Source organism: Homo sapiens, chromosome 5 (genome assembly GCF_000001405.40).
Source record: "Homo sapiens chromosome 5, GRCh38.p14 Primary Assembly".
NCBI lineage: Eukaryota > Metazoa > Chordata > Mammalia > Primates > Hominidae > Homo > Homo sapiens.
Genome location: NC_000005.10, coordinates 127,537,409 through 127,555,273, shown reverse-complemented (window position 1 = coordinate 127,555,273; position 17,865 = coordinate 127,537,409). Strand labels below are relative to the sequence as shown.

Below are 17,865 nucleotides of genomic sequence, written 5' to 3'. Positions count from 1 at the left end.
TTTGAGTTCTTGCACCCTGAAGTTAGCAACTCTGGTATATGTGAATGTTACAGTTCCACTAGAAAGATGGTGGTTAAGTTGCTGTTGTACAAGAATTCTTGGCAGCCAGTAACAAATTTAGGTAAAAAGAAATATGCGTCCTTTCAATATAAACTAGCATTTAAAAAAAAAATCGCTATACAACTTTGGAAATAAGTCAAAGCATTGTTTATTTATGACATATTTACATATTTACAAAACTGATTTTACTCAATACATCATCCTGCGTAATATCATAAAATGAACACCATATCCTGGGAATAAAAATCCATATTTCTTAATAATTTATGTATAGCCCAACTTTTAGAACATAGAATATTATCAATTTGGCTTCCCAAACTACAAAGTCCTGTTTATAATTTTTTCTAGCCAAGGAACAGAGTAGATTCAACAGCATATTAAAGTAATTTAGTTAACCCTGAGTAATTACTAACTTGCATAATTTTGAATGGATGTATATAACACACTTTCATCTGCACTTAGATACTTATACTATCACACTACCTTTTTGTATTTATCCACCTCAATTTTCAACTTCATTAATCTTCAGAAGAAAGAGGAATAAAGAATAGGAAAGTAATAACAGAATCATTACGAGGAAATTACTAGCACTGCCTAAACATTCAGAAGTCTGTGACACAGTTTAGGTCTAGGGTTGTCTCAAAAACCTAACAAAAGGAGGATCCCGAATTGAATAATCTGAGCACCTTGTCAACTGAGGTTGATATTAAATTATTTTTCCTGCATTCTTTGTTTCCTTTCACACTAATTAAATATTGTGTACAAGCTTATAAAATTCAATAATTTGTATTAAAATACAAAATCCAATAACAACCAGGAGTTCTTCGGAAGAAAAAAAAAATCACAAAACAACCCCAACAGTGGTGAAGAACTATATTAAAGATGGCTTTTCCTAAGACAGAGGGAGAACAAAAGCAAATAGCACTCTCCCTCCGCCAAGGCTAGAGCAGGAGGTTCAAGGAAATGGGCAGGAAGAGAACAGAACACTCAAGCTGGACGATTAGTGAAGGAAACTGTGGCCTGAGACTGATGATCAGCATATCTTATGCCTAAACACCACCACTAAGACTACCTGGCTAAGCTGCCATGGTGTGTTAGAGATGATGAGTTACTTTTCTTGCCCCTTTTACAACAGGGAAATCTAAGGACAACAAAATAAACAAAAGGCTGAGAAAGCTGAGCATGTGAAGTCAGTCATGCTCCGCTGCTTTTCAAAAACTCTGGGCCAAGAACAGAACCAGAGAGGCCAGAGCAGTTCATGTATTTCTCTCTTCCATCTGACCATCTCTCATCTTCCTCACCCACTCACACGGTTCCGAGCAGGAGGCTTACCAGGTCACCAGGGGCAGGAAAATTTCTAGCTTCAACCAAGCCATGGACTGCCACTGCTCTTTGGGGATTCTAGGAAAATAATCATCTAATGAAATGTCAGTATTTGTGATTCTATGAGAACAATTCTCAAAACATCAAAAAGACATTTGTGACTTGGTAAAATAAAAATCAAAGAAAAATTAAGGTATTTTTAGAATCTGTAAGATTTCCTTATAATAGGAGGGAAAGTAGCAGAACTATTTTAAGTAAGGACATGCTTCCCTTCAGTCTGTAATGAAAGACTGTTGTTGTCATCATGCCATTGCCATGATAAAATACTACTAGAAAAGGATAGCTTTTAAAATAAAGTGTAGACGCAAATGGTAGAGAAAGCCTTCTTGTACTTGAAGGAAAGAAAGAAAGTATTCTGTCCCTGTTACTCCTGGACAAAAGTACACCAAGGCAACCTATAACCTCTCTGTGCTGTCTCTCATGACTTTTAATGACACGGAAGTCTGATATTCACTGAACAGTCATTATACAGTGCTTGGAAAGTAACATATATTTAATATTCAAATTTAATATTCATTCTTCTTATCCTCAGGTAAAAAAATAGCAGAAACCAAATAATGACTTGAAGTGGCATTAACACAAAGCAAACCTGATACCTATGATACCTAAAGACAGTGCAGGACAAGAGCTTCAACAGCTTTTATAAAACTGCCAGAGATTGTGCTAATTCTTTTACATCTAAAGAACTGTATAGAAGAGTAAAAAAATTAAATTACATTTATATAAGAAACTATCTTCGAAAAAGTTATTTGAACTTGTATATACAAAGTCCAACAGTATTAAGAAAAAAATTTATTTAATTATCATTTATATAAGTCCAAAAATGATATAATATATTATTTGAGGGGAAAAGGCTTCCACGAAATAGAAATACAGTAGACTAAATAAACTAGATTGAATATAAAATAGTTTCTTTGAAAACATCCATAAAAAGTAAAGACCAAATGGCACAAAGTTAAAAAAGTAATGCTTAAGGCAAACCAAATAAGTAACCTTAATTGAAGTAAGAGACATACTAACCCACAAGCAATAAAGTAACCCCCTCTCAAAAATTTCTGTATTAAAATGTGTAGAGAATATGAGTGGAAGCAGAAACAATGGCTGTTGTCAGAGCTTATTCTTGGAAGTACTGAACAGTATTATACAAAAATAATTTGAATACTTCTGATTTAAAATATACTTGAATCATTTGCCCCTTAGCTGTCATATAGCAATGAAAAAATAAAATGTATTACCCCAATGTTCATAGTATAAATCTGGGAAATGCCAAAAGTTATGTTTAAAATTGACAAAGGTATGATTTTCCAGATTACATGTGTACGTGATGGCCAAAAAGGAAAATAATCAATTCCATTATTTTGGCCCATATTACTGAAAACATGCACAGAAATGTGGAACATCTCCCGACAAGTAGGTGTCTTATAGTGACTGTTGAGCAGGCTGCTCAGCACCAGCCCTGAGATCGTGTGCACATACAAAAGTAGTCAAAGACTGACAGAAAAGAGATGAAGCCAAAGCAAATCATGCTTTTATAAACATTCAACCAACATGTTCTTTAATAATGTCTTCTTTAAAGAACAAAATAATCAAGTACATGGCATTAAGTTAAATGTCTCTGCACATGAATTTCCACCTTATAAATCTGGTATATTAAATTGTGCTGTAAATAGATTTGTATATTTTCTTTTTTGAGTACTATGATAGGTGAAATGGTATGACTATAAAAAGGATTTGTTTCTTTTTGTCTCCTGGAATGACATGATGCCTTTCTAGAGAAAGAAAAATTGCAGGCTACAGGAAAATGATAAAAACTACTGGATTCATTTAGACTATTCGATTTAGGAAGGTACAACCACTTCTTTAACATCAAGCTAAAAGTGGGGGAAAGTCTCAGTCTCCCAGGTAGGTCTCCTCTCACACTGTCCTGGGTGGCAGGCGCTGTTTATACATGCCCGCTATCGCTCTGGCTGCACTGTAGATCATCTGCCGACGGGACATCCCAGTAAATGCCATGTGCCAATCAGTCCGGCTGACATTCAGTAAACTCTTTTCCAGGACTTCACCCACTGTCACCAAAAGGCCTGACCACCTCAGATTATAGTCCTGGGGAGTTAGACTTTGAGCCTGTGGAAAGATGAAATTGATATTACTTATAATACATTTAAAAATATCATTGGAACTAGCTATAAGTGACATTTCAAAGTGTTTCATGTTATTTTAAATATAGATTATGACAAACTCTGAGAAATACAGCTAGGCTGCCAACTATATCAACTTACAAGGCTAGAACACAATCAATGTAACATTACACACATCTATTTTTTAAAAAATATCCCCATTAACGAGGCTAACAGTCGGAAGGTTTGAGTTCTAGTTCTAAATTAAGTGTCACTTCAGGTTAATAATAAGATTGGTACTAAAATCAGTGCTAAAGTTATCTTTTATAGTAGTAAAATTTCAACCAGAAAGAGGAAAACTGAAAATTAAGGCTTAAATCCATTCAGAAAAGAATTGCTCAATTATGGAAATTCTCTCTGGAAATGTGATTCACATGTTAATATGTATCAAGTAATATCCAGTCCTGGACAACATCAACCACTGATGCAACATTCCTAATTGACCCAACTCATATTTGCTCCTATTCAAATCATTTATTCATCTACAAAGGAATGACAGAAGAATAAACTCATTGCTTGATATCCAAGACTGATGTGGTTTTTCTGTTTTAGGGTGTTAGGTATAGTCCAGAGAAGTATAGCCACATCTAGAACGGATCTATACAGTTATACATGACTACCAAATGTGCCATGTATTACAATCACCTGAGGAGCTCTTGTTTCTTTTTTCTTTTTTAACGATATCCAGTTTCTCACATCCCACTAAGATAACTGAGACACCAAGATAACTGAATTGGAAACTCTACAGCTGGTTCCAAGAGAAACAGTACAGTATTACGTACGTAAAATAGCTTCCAAGTCAATCTGATGCAAACAGTCCAGCACTTGGGAACCCCTGCTCTAAGTACTCTCTTCCAATGTGTATACTACAGTATCAGTATTTCACTATATTTCAAAGAGAAACAGCAGATATACTACTAACGTCCTCAGAGACACCAGTAACACTGTGCTTCTCAAATTATGGCATGCCTATGAATCCCCTGAATATCTTGTTAAAATGCAGCTCCTGATTCACTAGTCCTGTGTTAGGACCCGAGAATCTGCATTTTAACAAATTTCTAGGTGCTGCTTATGATGTTAAGCCAAGGACCACACTTTTTAGAAACAAGGTATTCTATATTATTGGCAAAAATCCAGAACAGCTGGGGTTTTTTATGGGGGTGAGGAATCATTTATATTTAAGTTTAACAAGTACAAATTGTATGAAATTTATTTCCAGATTTTTACTAATATATACTGATAATTCTAATTACCTGAAGGGCTGATTTCCATTACCTTAAATTAAAAAATTCCAACAATAAAAAAGCATAAAACATTTTAGAATGAATAAAAAGAAACAGGGAGGAGAGCTGAATAGCTGAGGATAAAAAGAAGACATTTCAATGCACACAGTTTTGTATCTTCTAAATTTTAAAACCAAATGACACAAAATAAAACAAACAGAATAAAAAGCAAAGTAAAAAGCAAATAACACCCTTTAAATACCATTATTCAGAATTAACCACTATTAACAGTTTGCTGTGTTATCTTTCCAGGCCTTTTTCCCTATTCTTATTAAAATTTTAAAGCACACACATACACACGCCTGCTAGTAAATGGGATCATACTAGATGTGCTGTTTTTGACTTTTACTCAGCAATATGTAATAGCTATCTTTTGGTACTGGTACACACGAGTCCACTTCATTCTTTCATGTCTACTTCTTTCCAGTATATATTCCTAAAAACAACATAAAAATTGTCCTTTGCAATGGTCAGATATCTAACACAGGGGTCAGCAAACTTTTTCTGAAAAGAGCCAGATGGTAAATATTTTAGGCTTTGTGGGCCAGACATTCTCTGTTGCAACTATTCATTTCTGCTGCTATAGTACAAAAGCAGCTATAAACAATAAGTAAGCAAACTGGCATGGGTGTGTTCCAATAAACTTAATTACAAAAAGATGACAGGCCAGATTTGGCTGTGAGCCACTGTTTGCTGACCCCAGATCTACAGCAATGTTAACAGTGGCAGTGACAGGAGCATCCTCATAATTATAACGTTTTCAGTGTTTTATTTATTAGATCTGAAGTTTGCTTTGATTTTGTAGTACACACATACCCGTCTAATACTAAGAGCTATTAGTATGATTATTTCTAGCAAATACCTTCAACTCTTATCAAAATCTTTTTTCTCCTTTCAATGCAGATGTTCATGTACTGAATTACATAAATTTACTATTGTTGAACCATTCTGCTGTTCTTGGGACAAATTTTTCATGGTCAGGATACAATGTTCATCTAATACATTTCTGAATTTTATTTATTAATTTTACCAATGGTTTTGACATTTAGTTCTTTGGACTATAATTTCATTTAAAGTTAAAAGAGGCTAGTCTCACAGAATGAACTGGAAAACTCTCTACCTCTATTTTTGATACCTCATACAGCAAATCATCTCTGAACATTTTGTAGAACTCACTTGTAACACCATTGGTACTCAGTGATTTTTTTTTTTTTAGTTACATAAAGTTCTTCCATTTTAATGCTTCAATTAAGCTGAATCATATGAAACTGACAATATATAACTATTTCTGACCATCAAAGGCAACAACGTCATTTGGTTCAACCTAATACTCTTAACTATGGCAAAACTTCTATTTTCCTAGAAAATCCACTCTTTCACCTAATTTTTCTAATTTATTGGCATAACAGTATGCATAGTATTCACTTACAGTCTTTTAATCACCTTCATATTGAAATGAGTGTAATGTTAATATCTATAAAAAGGTTTTCTTGAACTTATGAAAAGAAATTACGGTATAAATAAAAGTTTCAGTAAAATTTCAAATTCCAAGCATCAATTCTTAGCCCCCTTTCTAAACTGTAATAAGTAGGCCAGAGGTTACTTTTAGGGATTATGTGAACACATATGCCAAAGTTCTATGAAAGTACACATACACGCATTTTTCTTGGGAGACAGCCCAATAGTTTTCTTAGATTCTCAAATGTCTTCATGTCCCAAATAAGTTTGAAAGGCAGTTTTGAAATGATATTTAACAATGTACAAACTACAACTGTAACAAAAATTTTATGAAATTGACAGAAAAAAGTCAATAGAATACCACTTAAGAGCACAGAGATTCCAATGCAAGTATATATTTATATTCCATTTTGTTCATGAAAGGATTAGAGAAAACACACCAAAAAAAAAAAAAAAGAGGAATAAGGATTATCATTTATACTTACATTCTCCTGGAAACTGTGTGGATAGGTACACTATTAGGTCCATTTTTCAGCCAAAAACCTAAAGACACGTGCCTATAAGGTTTCTAATGTTGATTTCACTAAAGATGAACAGGAGGACAATCAATCAAGGAAAAGGGAAATGGAGATAACAGTGGAAATGAAATGTGAGATAAAAGGGAAAGCAAACGAAAGGCGGACATAAAACAACTAGAAAAGGTAAATCTTTTCCAGAACTCAGAGTAAAAACAAAGAAAAAAATGAGAGAAATAATGATTAACCATGTAATGTATTACCTTTCAAAGACACCTGGAAAACAAAAGGAGGAAGGTACTAAAACAACATGGAAGGATCAGGAAATTAAAAAGCAAAGAAAAATACTAAAAGAAAAATGACTGAAACAAAATCAAGAACATATTTCTAACAAAAAAACCGAACAAATTTTTATTCTGAAAACAATAGTGTAAGTTTCTCTGGAGCATAATGAAAAAGCAAAGGAGAAAACCAACCTGCTGTACAAATTCCAAAGGCACTGGTGTGGCTTGTGTAAATGTTTCTAGATGAATGCCATGGACAGGATCTTCAACCACCAAACAACCAATGTCAAACCATCTGCAACAGAATTACGAGTTTCAAATGGTTTATATGCCAAATAAAACTTATCATGAATAGACAAAAAGAAAAAACAAGTACTATTATTCAGATAGAACAGATTTCAAAAAGGAAATCTTTTTCTTACCAACTTGCAAAAGGACAATTCATAAAAACAACAGATAAAATTACTCTGTATTAATTCTAAGAGGAAAAAAGACAATAACCACAAAGAAAAAAAATTTAAAAATACTTATCATGGAAAGCTTCCTCTCCATGGGAAGGGAGAATAATCAAAGTAAGGGTACTCAAATATGCAACAGGTAAATTTACATACATTGAATATGCAAACAGCTTATGAGTAATATTTTTCAATTGTCACTTGCTAAAATATGGGAAATTTTATAATACAAACTCTATCATGAATATGTACTCAACTAAGTTACTAACAAATTAAAAAATAAGCTCAGAGGAAATAATAACAAATACTCTCTTCATTAATAATAAATCCTTCTAATCACAATTTCTGAATTATTCACAATGAGTCAGTCTTTGAAAACAGCCTCATGAAATCCAGGAAACTTCTCTTCATTTAAAGAGACTTATATATCATACAAAATGATAAATTTTAAAAATGACTTTATTGAAAACAACTGTAGTACCACCCAAATTTTAGCTAACCCAAATCATGAAACAGCCAGATACCCTCAAAAATGAATTTAAACAATAAAAGGATATGAAGCAGGAAAATGTTTAATGCCTATTTTTTAATGTAAATCTAATAAAATGCAATGAAATATAAAATGGATTAGGAGACTTTTATTTACACATTCAAAAAAACAACAAAGTAAAATATACAGTAACATAAATAACTTTGCTGAATACTAAAATGGCACTTTATAATGTCTATAGTGTTCATATCCTAAAACTTTAAAATTAAAAACATTAAATAATGACATTTATTTTATTTGGTAGACTAATAGATATTTTGTATTTTACTACAACTTTCTCAATCAAGATAATGTATTTGTGAAGCCTCCATAAAGTCGAGCTTAGCTAAATTTTATTTTGCCTTATTTTGCATAATTTGCAGACAATAATCTCTATGGTGAATAACATACTAACCAAGCTTTCAGGTGTGGACATCCTAAAAAGTGTTACTGAAGGTATGAGGAAAGTTTTTTCTATGATGCCAGTGAATATACCTTAGAACACCGACCTAGACTTGACTCAGCTCAGACTGTGACTGAAGTACACTACATTACCCTCCCCTTCCTCACACCCCTACAATTGTGTATATTATTATAGAGGAAAGGATGAACCTTCTCAAGATCACTTAAAGACTCTAGAGTTTTGTTTTCTAAACAATGGTTTTCAAAGATTACTATGCATTCAGAGAGACAGCACCATATATTCAAACCAAAAGGAAAAAGGAGACTAACACAGACCACAAGTGACCGTGATATTGGAATCAGTAGATGAGGATTTAAAAGTTAACTATGGTTCATATAGTCAAGAAAAGAGAGGTAAAGACAGTTCAACTACATTTAAAGATACAGGCATTCAAAAGATAAATTGAACCTGCATTTTAAAAGGTAAGAACTCTATGTAAGAGTTTAACAACAGGCTGGACACAGCAGAAGGCAGGATTAGTGAACCTGAAGACAGGTGAATAGAAAATGTCAAAACTAAGGAACAGAGAGGAAAAAAAGAGTGGGGGAAAAAACCTGACAATGTGAGACACTGTCAAAGGTGAATGGGCATGTAATTAAGGTCCTACAAAGAGAAGGGAGAGAAATGGGCCAGAAGCAAGTTTTGAAGACATAATTGTAAAGAATTTCCAAAACTGAAGATATTAATCCACAGAATCAAGAAGCTCAGCGAATCCACAAAAAATAATTATGAGAGCAAGCAAGCAAGCAAATACATATAATCATACCATTCTAAAACCGCAAAAAATAAAACGACAGAGAAAATCCTAAAAGCAGCCAGAGAAAACAACATATTATCTTCACAGAGACAATACACAAGAAGATGGAGAGATGACTTTTTTTTTTTAAATTATACTTTAAGTTTTAGGGTACATGTGCACAATGTGCAGGTTAGTTACATATGTATACATGTGCCATACTGGTGTGCTGCACCCATTAATTCATCATTTAGCATTAGGTATATCTCCTAATGCTATCCCTCCCCCCACCCCACAACAGTCCCCAGAGTGTGCTGTTCCCCTTCCTGTGTCCATGTGTTCTCATTGTTCAATTCCCACCTATGAGTGAGAACATGTGATGTTTGGTTTTTTGTCCTTGTGATAGTTTACTGAGAATGATGATTTCCAATTTCATCCATGTCCTTACAAAGGACATGAACTCATCATTTTTATGGCTGCATAGTATTCCATGGTGTATATGTACCACATTTTCTTAATCCAGTCTATCATTGTTGGACATTTGGATTGGTTCCAAGTCTTTGCTATTGGGAATAGTGCCGCAATAAACATATGTGTGCATGTGTCTTTATAGCAGCATGATTTATAGTCCTTTGGGTATATACCCAGTAATGGGATGGCTGGGTCAAATGGTATTTCTAGTTCTAGATCCCTGAGGAATCGCCACACTGACTTCCACAATGGTTGAACTAGTTTACAGTCCCACCAACAGTGTAAAAGTGTTCCTATTTCTCCACATCCTCTCCAGCACCTGTTGTTTCCTGACTTTTTAATGATTGCCATTCTAACTGGTGTGAGATGGTATCTCATTGTGGTTTTGATGTGCATTTCTCTGATGGCCAGTGATGGTGAGCTACTGTGGGAGGAGCCAAGATGGCCGAATAGGAACAGCTCCTGTCTACAGCTCCCAGCGTGAGCGACGCAGAAGACGGGTGATTTCTGCATTTCCATCTGAGGTACCAGGTTCATCTCACTAGGGAGTGCCAGACAGTGGGCCCAGGACAGTGGGTGCAGCGCACCATGCTCGAGCCGAAGCAGGGTGAGGCATTGCCTCACTCGGGAAGCGCAAGGGGTCAGGGAGTTCCCTTTCCTAGTCAAAGAAAGGGGTGACAGACGGAACCTGGAAAATCGGGTCACTCCCACCCAAATACTGTGCTTTTCCAACAGGCTTAAAAAACAGCGCACCAGGAGATTATATCCCGCACCTGGTTCAGAGGGTCCTATGCCCACGGAGTCCCGCTGATTGCTGGCACAGCAGCCTGAGATCAAACTGCAAGGCGGCAGCGAGGCTGCGGGAGGGGCGCCCGCCATTGCCCAGACTTGCTTAGGTAAACAAAACAGCCGGGAAGCTCGAACTGGGTGGAGCCCACCACAGCTCAAGGAGGGCTGCCTGCCTCTGTAGGCTCCACCTCTGGGGGCAGGGCACAGACAAACAAAAACAAAGCAGTAACCTCTGCAGACTTAAATGTCCCTGTCTGACAGCTTTGAAGAGAGCAGTGGTTCTCCCAGCACGCAGCTGGAGATCTGAGAACGGGCAGACTGCCTCCTCAAGTGGGCCCCTGACCCCTGACCCCCGAGCAGCCTAACTGGGAGGCACCCCCCAGTAAGGTCAGACTGACACCTCACACGGCTGGCCGGGTACTCCTCTGAGACAAAACTTCCAGAGGAACGATCAGACAGCAGCATTCGCGGTTCACGAAAATCCGCGGTTCTGCAGACACTGCTGCTGATACCCAGGCAAACAGGGTCTGGAGTGGACCTCTAGCAAACTCCAACAGACCTGCAGATGAGGGTCCTGTCTGTTAGAAGGAAAACTAACAAACAGAAAGGACATCCACACCAAAAACCCATCTGTACATCACCATCATCAAAGACCAAAAGTAGATAAAACCACAAAGATGGGGAAAAAACAGAGCAGAAAAACTGGAAACTCTAAAAAGCAGAGCGCCTCTCCTCCTCCAAAGGAACGCAGTTCCTCACCAGCAACGGAACAAAGCTGGACAGAGAATGACTTTGACGAGTTGAGAGAAGAAGGCTTCAGATGATCAAACTACTCCGAGCTACAGAAGGAAATTCAAACCAAAGGCAAAGAAGTTGAAAACTTTGAAAAAAATTTAGACGAATGTATAACTAGAATAACCAATACAGAGAAGTGCTTAAAGGAGCTGATGAAGCTGAAAGCCAAGGCTCGAGAACTACATGAAGAATGCAGAAGCCTCAGGAGCCGACGCGATCAACTGGAAGAAAGGGTATCAGTGATGGAAGATGAAATGAATGAAATGAAGCGAGAAGGGAAGTTTAGAGAAAAAAGAATAAAAAGAAACGAACAAAGCCTCCAAGAAATATGGGACTATGTGAAAAGACCAAATCTACGTCTGACTGGTGTACCTGAAAGCGACGGGGAGAATGGAACCAAGTTGGAAAACACTCTGCAGGATATTATCCAGGAGAACTTCCCCAATCTAGCAAGGCAGGCCAACATTCAGATTCAGGAAATACAGAGAATGCCACAAAGATACTCCTCAAGAAGAGCAACTCCAAGACACATAATTATCAGATTCACCAAAGTTGAAATGAAGGAAAAAATGTTAAGGGCAGCCAGAGAGAAAGGTCGGGTTACCCACAAAGGGAAGCCCATGAGACTAACAGCAGATCTCTCGGCAGAAACTCTACAAGCCAGAAGAGAGTGGGGGCCAATATTCAACATTCTTAAAGAAAAGAATTTTCAACCCAGAATTTCATATCCAGCCAAACTAAGTTTTGTAAGTGAAGGAGAAATAAAATACTTTACAGACAAGCAAATGCTGAGAGATTTTGTCACCACCAGGCCTGCCCTAAAAGCTGCTGAAGGAAGCACTAAACATGGAAAGGAACAACTGGTACCAGCTGCTGCAAAATCATGCCAAAATGTAAAGACCATCAAAACTAGGAAGAAACTGCATCAACTAATGAGAAAAATAACCAGCTAACATCATAATGATGGGATCAAATTCACACATAACAATATTAACTTTAAATGTAAGTGGACTAAATGCTCCAATTAAAAGACACAGACTGGCAAATTGGATAAAGAGTCAAGACCCATCAGTGTGCTGTATTCAGGAAACCCATCTCACGTGCAGAGACACACATAGGCTCAAAATAAAAGGATGGAGGAAGATCTACCAAGCAAATGGAAAACAAAAAAAGGCAGGGGTTGCAATCCTAGTCTCTGATAAAACAGACTTTAAACCAACAAAGATCAGAAGAGACAAAGAAGGCCATTACATAATGGTAAAGGGATCAATTCAACAAGAAGAGCTAACTATCCTAAATATATATGCACCCAATACAGGAGCACCCAGATTCATAAAGCAAGTCCTGAGTGACCTACAAAGAGACTTAGACTCCCACACAATAATAATGGGAGATTTTAACACCCCACTGTCAACATTAGACAGATCAACGAGACAGAAAGTTAACAAGGATACCCAGAAATTGAACTCAGCTCTGCACCAAGCGGACCTAATAGACATCTACAGAACTCTCCACCCCAAATCAACAGAATATACATTTTTTTCAGCACCACACCACACCTATTCCAAAATTGACCACATACTTGGAAGTAAAGCTCTCCTCAGCACATGTAAAAGAACAGAAATTATAACAAACTGTCTCTCAGACCACAGTGCAATCAAACTAGAACTCAGGATTAAGAAACTCACTCAAAACTGCTCAACTACGTGGAAACTGAACAACCTGCTCCTGAATGACTACTGGGTACATAACAAAATGAAGGCAGAAATAAAGATGTTCTTTGAAACCAACGAGAACAAAGACACAACATACCAGAATCTCAGACACATTCAAAGCAGTGTGTAGAGGGAAATTTATAGCACTAAATGCCCACAAGAGAAAGTAGGAAAGATCCAAAATTGACACCCTAACATCACAATTAAAAGAACTAGAAAAGCAAGAGCAAACACATTCAAAAGCTAGCAGAAGGCAAGAAATAACTAAAATCAGAGCAGAACTGAAGGAAATAGAGACACAAAAAACCCTTCAAAAAATTAATGAATCCAGGAGCTGGTTTTTTTGAAAGGATCAACAAAATTGATAGACCGCTAGCAAGACTAATAAAGAAAAAAAGAGAGAAGAATCAAATAGACGCAATAAAAAATGATAAAGGGGATATCACCACCGATCCCACAGAAATACAAACTACCATCAGAGAATACTACAAACAACTCTACGCAAATAAACTAGAAAATCTAGAAGAAATGGATAAATTCCTCGATACATACACTCTCCCAAGACTAAACCAGGAAGAAGTTGAATCTCTGAATAGACCAATAACAGGATCTCAAATTGTGGCAATAATCAATAGCTTACCAACCAAAAAGAGTACAGGACCAGATGGATTCACAGCCGAATTCTACCAGAGGTACAAGGAGGAACTGGTACCATTCCTTCTGAAACTATTCCAATCAATAGAAAAAGAGGGAATCCTCCCTAACTCATTTTATGAGGCCAGCATCATCCTGATACCAAAGCCAGGCAGAGACACAACAAAAAAAGAGAATTTTAGACCAATATCCTTGATGAACATGGATGCAAGAATCCTCAATAAAATACTGGCAAACTGAATCCAGCAGCACATCAAAGAGCTTATCCACCATGATCAAGTGGGCTTCATCCCTGGGAAGAAAGGCTGGTTCAATATACACAAAATCAATAAATGTAATCCAGCATATAAACAGAACCAAAGACAAAAACTACATGATTATCTCAATAGATGCAGAAAAGGCCTTTGACAAAATTCAACAACTCTTCATGCTAAAAACTTTCAATAAATTAGGTACTGATGGGACGTATCTCAAAATAATAAGAGCTATCTATGACAAACCCACAGCCAATATCATACTGAATGGGCAAAAACTGGAAGCATTCCCTTTGAAAACTGGCACAGGACAGGGATGCCCTCTCTCACCACTCCTATTACCATCAGAGTGAACAGGCAACCTACAAAATGGGAGAAAATTTTCGCAACATATTCATCTAACAAAGGGCTAATATCCAGAATCACAATGAACTCAAACAAATTTACAAGAAAAAAACAAACAACCCCATCAAAAAGTGGGCGAAGGACATGAACAGACACTTCTCAAAAGAAAACATTTATGGAGAGATGACTTTTTAACAGAAATGACGGAAGCCAGAAAACAGTACCATGACATTTTTAAAGTGCTGAAAGAAAAGAAACTGCCAACCTAGACTTCTACATCCAGCAAAAATAAAGGTGAATTAAAGCACTTTCAGATAAACAAAAGCTGAGAGAATTGGTAGTGAGCAGCTCTGAACTATAATGTATTATCAAAGGAAGTACTTTAGGCTTCCTTTCGAAGAAAAATGACCCCAGACAGAAAAACAGAAATGCAAGAAAGAATTCAGAGAATAAACAAATACTGACTGCAAAGAACATTACCAGTTATGTCTTAAGAGCTTAAAATATATGCAGAATTAAAATACTTAACAATGATACCGCAAAAGGTGAAAAGGGAGTGAATAGTATTAAAAGTAGTACTAGTATTATCACAAGTTATAATTTTTGTTATATCAAAAAGGCATATTGTAATTTCTAATGTTAATTATTAAATGAACAGTAACAGGTTAATAAAAAAAAATGACACAACAATCACTGGACGGTTTCTCAGTGCTTACATAGAAAGTTGAAACTTATCAACCTAGAATTCAGAGCTCTTCACAATTTGTCCCGTCACCTCTTGATTTCCCATCCAACAAACCTTCAGCCAAGTTGATATAATCACTGACCCAAGAATACATTTCAATTACCTTCAAACTTTTTCTCCACCCAGAACATCCTACTTCCTTTGTTCCATTTGGCCAAGTTTCACCTCTTCTTCAAAATCCAGTTCAAGCCCTAATTATTCATGAATTTCACCTGACACTATCTCCACAGAGTTACCTCCACTGAAATTTTATATATTTCCTGTCAGCAAAAAATTATGTTTCCTTTTTACAATTACTTAAAACTGCTCATCTGTGTACTACATATATCTTCTTTCCCACTGGCCTATAATATGCCTCAAAGTTGGAGGATATATTTTGCATATTACAAGCCACAAAATGCTATGCCCATTGTTATTCAACACTGAACAAACAAATAAAAAATAAAAACAACAAAACCATAATGCAAATACAAAAGAAGGTAGATTTCAACAAAGGGAAGTTATTCTAATATAAATCAATTAAGCAAATTAAAAATTTTTCCCATAAAAAGCCACCTGAAAAACAATGATAAATTATGCTGTCTGGAGGTTTTTCTAAACTATTATGAGTACAGGAGAGATACTGCTCACTAGAAACTCAAACCTAGAGAATGCCATCAGGCCTTCTTGCCCATATATTCCACGACTTTGAATAACTATGAGAATAATTGTGTTTGCTACTCATGGTCAATTATATCCACACCAAATCTATCATCTTATACTTAGTGCCATTTTATTAATTATTAGCATGATCTCAGAAAGCAGGCATGACCATCTCCATTTTATAATTAAAAAAGAGACACAAGGATAGAAATGCCAGCTAAGCCATGCAGGACACACAGCTAGTTAAGTGATATAGCCAGCATCAAAATATACTTTTCTCTCTGGTTATAAAACAGGAGACACTTTTTGCTAAGTATTCAGTGTCAACTCCCAGACCCAATTATATTTTGCTTCCAAGAGAAACATAATACACTTACTTGTCAGGCAGCAATTCTGCAATGAAGTTTTCTACTGACACAGCTGTCTGTTTTTCATGGATCACCCCAGTTCGACGCAAGCTATCTATCCGTTCCTGAGCACCCTAAACAACAATGGCAGAGGTTAGAGACCATTTCAAATTATTACATATTAAATATACTAATTTATGATTACACAATACATGCATACATTTATATGCAAACACATATATATACTCACTGTAAACGTTCAAACAATACAAAAATGTAGAGTAAAAAATGACAAAATACAATTACATTTCCGTAGTATCAACAGTTTGGGGTACACCTTCCAAATTATTCCATATGCATTATGATGTTGGTTGCTATTGTGGATTATTTTTATATTACATTTTCTCATTGATTGTTACTGTTAAATAATTTAAGAAAACTGTATTTTTTAATGTTGATCTGGCAAGAGACCATCTTACTACATACAAAGTTTTTATCAGTTCTGGCAGTTTTGCAGTTAATTCTCTCTTGAATTTTTCAGGTAGGCAATCATATCAATAATAAATATGTTTTTCTCTTTCTTCTGATTCCTTTTAAATATACATGCACCAAAATGACCAGTTACTTAAAATAAAAAGCTGCAAATGTATACATTACACCACAGCTTATTCAACAAAATAATTACCATTGAAGACATGAACTGATTATATGTAATAGAAAACTAAAAGCTGGATGACTGAGGGAAAAGGTTTCTGTTTATTGCTTTTATCTGAATCCTTTCATAAAAGGTGACCATGAACAATGTGATGAATATGTGTTCAAAACGCAAGATAAGAAGTCTGAACAGAAGTAGCCATGGATAATTTTTATAAGGACAGCAGAGGTAAACAGACAATATCAGATTAAATGGTAAATTCTTATCCAAATGAAAATTAAGAAGGCTAGGACACATCTCGAGAAAACTCAATTTATTTCAGAGACAACTGAAGTGAAAAAGAGAAAGTGACAACTGTGCGAGAACGTGTAAGACAATTTAAGATACTAGCTTGTAAAGATGAAGATGATAGGATTTAAAGTACAATAAAACCAAGATTGTATATTTTTGCTCACTCTTCTATCTCTAGTTTCCAGCACAGTGCCTAACTTAATAGGTGTTCAATAAGAACTTACCACATAAAAAACTGAACAAAGAAAAAAATAAATGCTTCTGAAGGCCTATGTGGTCAATGTTAAGAATACAAATAGTGTAAATATGGCATCACCAAATCTAATAACACTTAAAGAGGCACCTGTTGATTTTGAAAGCAGTATTAACAGATAAGATGAACTTAGTTATTTATACCAGATGTTACAAATTTGCCTAATTCACTCCTCCCAGGAAGCAGTTATGGCTAAAGTTTGATTTTTAAAAAGCTTAAGTAAACATTCATTCCGTAAAAACTATTAAGGGATTAGTAAGATGTACAGAGATTCATCCCCTAACTCTTTGCAGGTGATATCTCAGCTATGCACTACAACAAAATATTCCTAGATTTTATGCTTCCAGGGAACAGAGACTAAGTTTGTTCATTTTTCACTATCCTACAGCACAGAGCTTTATATTTCACAGGATTCACAAAACATTTAATTAAAATTAATTAGTTCCTGCAAGAAACAGGATAATAAGCTAGGTAGACAAATTTCTTTTTTGTTTATAAAATCCATAAGAAAATGAAAATGGGGTTATATCTGGCCTTTCTTTTTCCTCTGACCACTACATTAATTA

At 35.8% G+C, this 17,865-nt stretch overlaps 1 protein-coding gene across 2 annotated transcripts in view; it reads right to left on the bottom strand.

Annotated features, from left to right (window-relative positions):
- Positions 1-188: 188 nt before the first annotated feature.
- The window catches only part of PRRC1 (proline rich coiled-coil 1), a 37,446-nt gene continuing 19,769 nt past the window's right edge, over positions 189-17,865 (bottom strand). Inside the window, exons 7-10 of one of the 2 annotated variants that reach the window (NM_001286808.2) lie at positions 16,131-16,234; positions 7,353-7,455; positions 3,396-3,567; positions 189-1,477 (exon numbers count right to left, since the gene is read on the bottom strand). In NM_001286808.2, the coding sequence (NP_001273737.1) occupies positions 1,389-1,477; positions 3,396-3,567; positions 7,353-7,455; positions 16,131-16,234 (468 nt within the window). In that variant the 3' untranslated portion in view covers positions 189-1,388. Of the gene's footprint in view, positions 3,568-7,352; positions 7,456-16,130; positions 16,235-17,865 lie in introns of both variants that reach the window. The other variant, NM_130809.5, reaches the window with a different exon arrangement.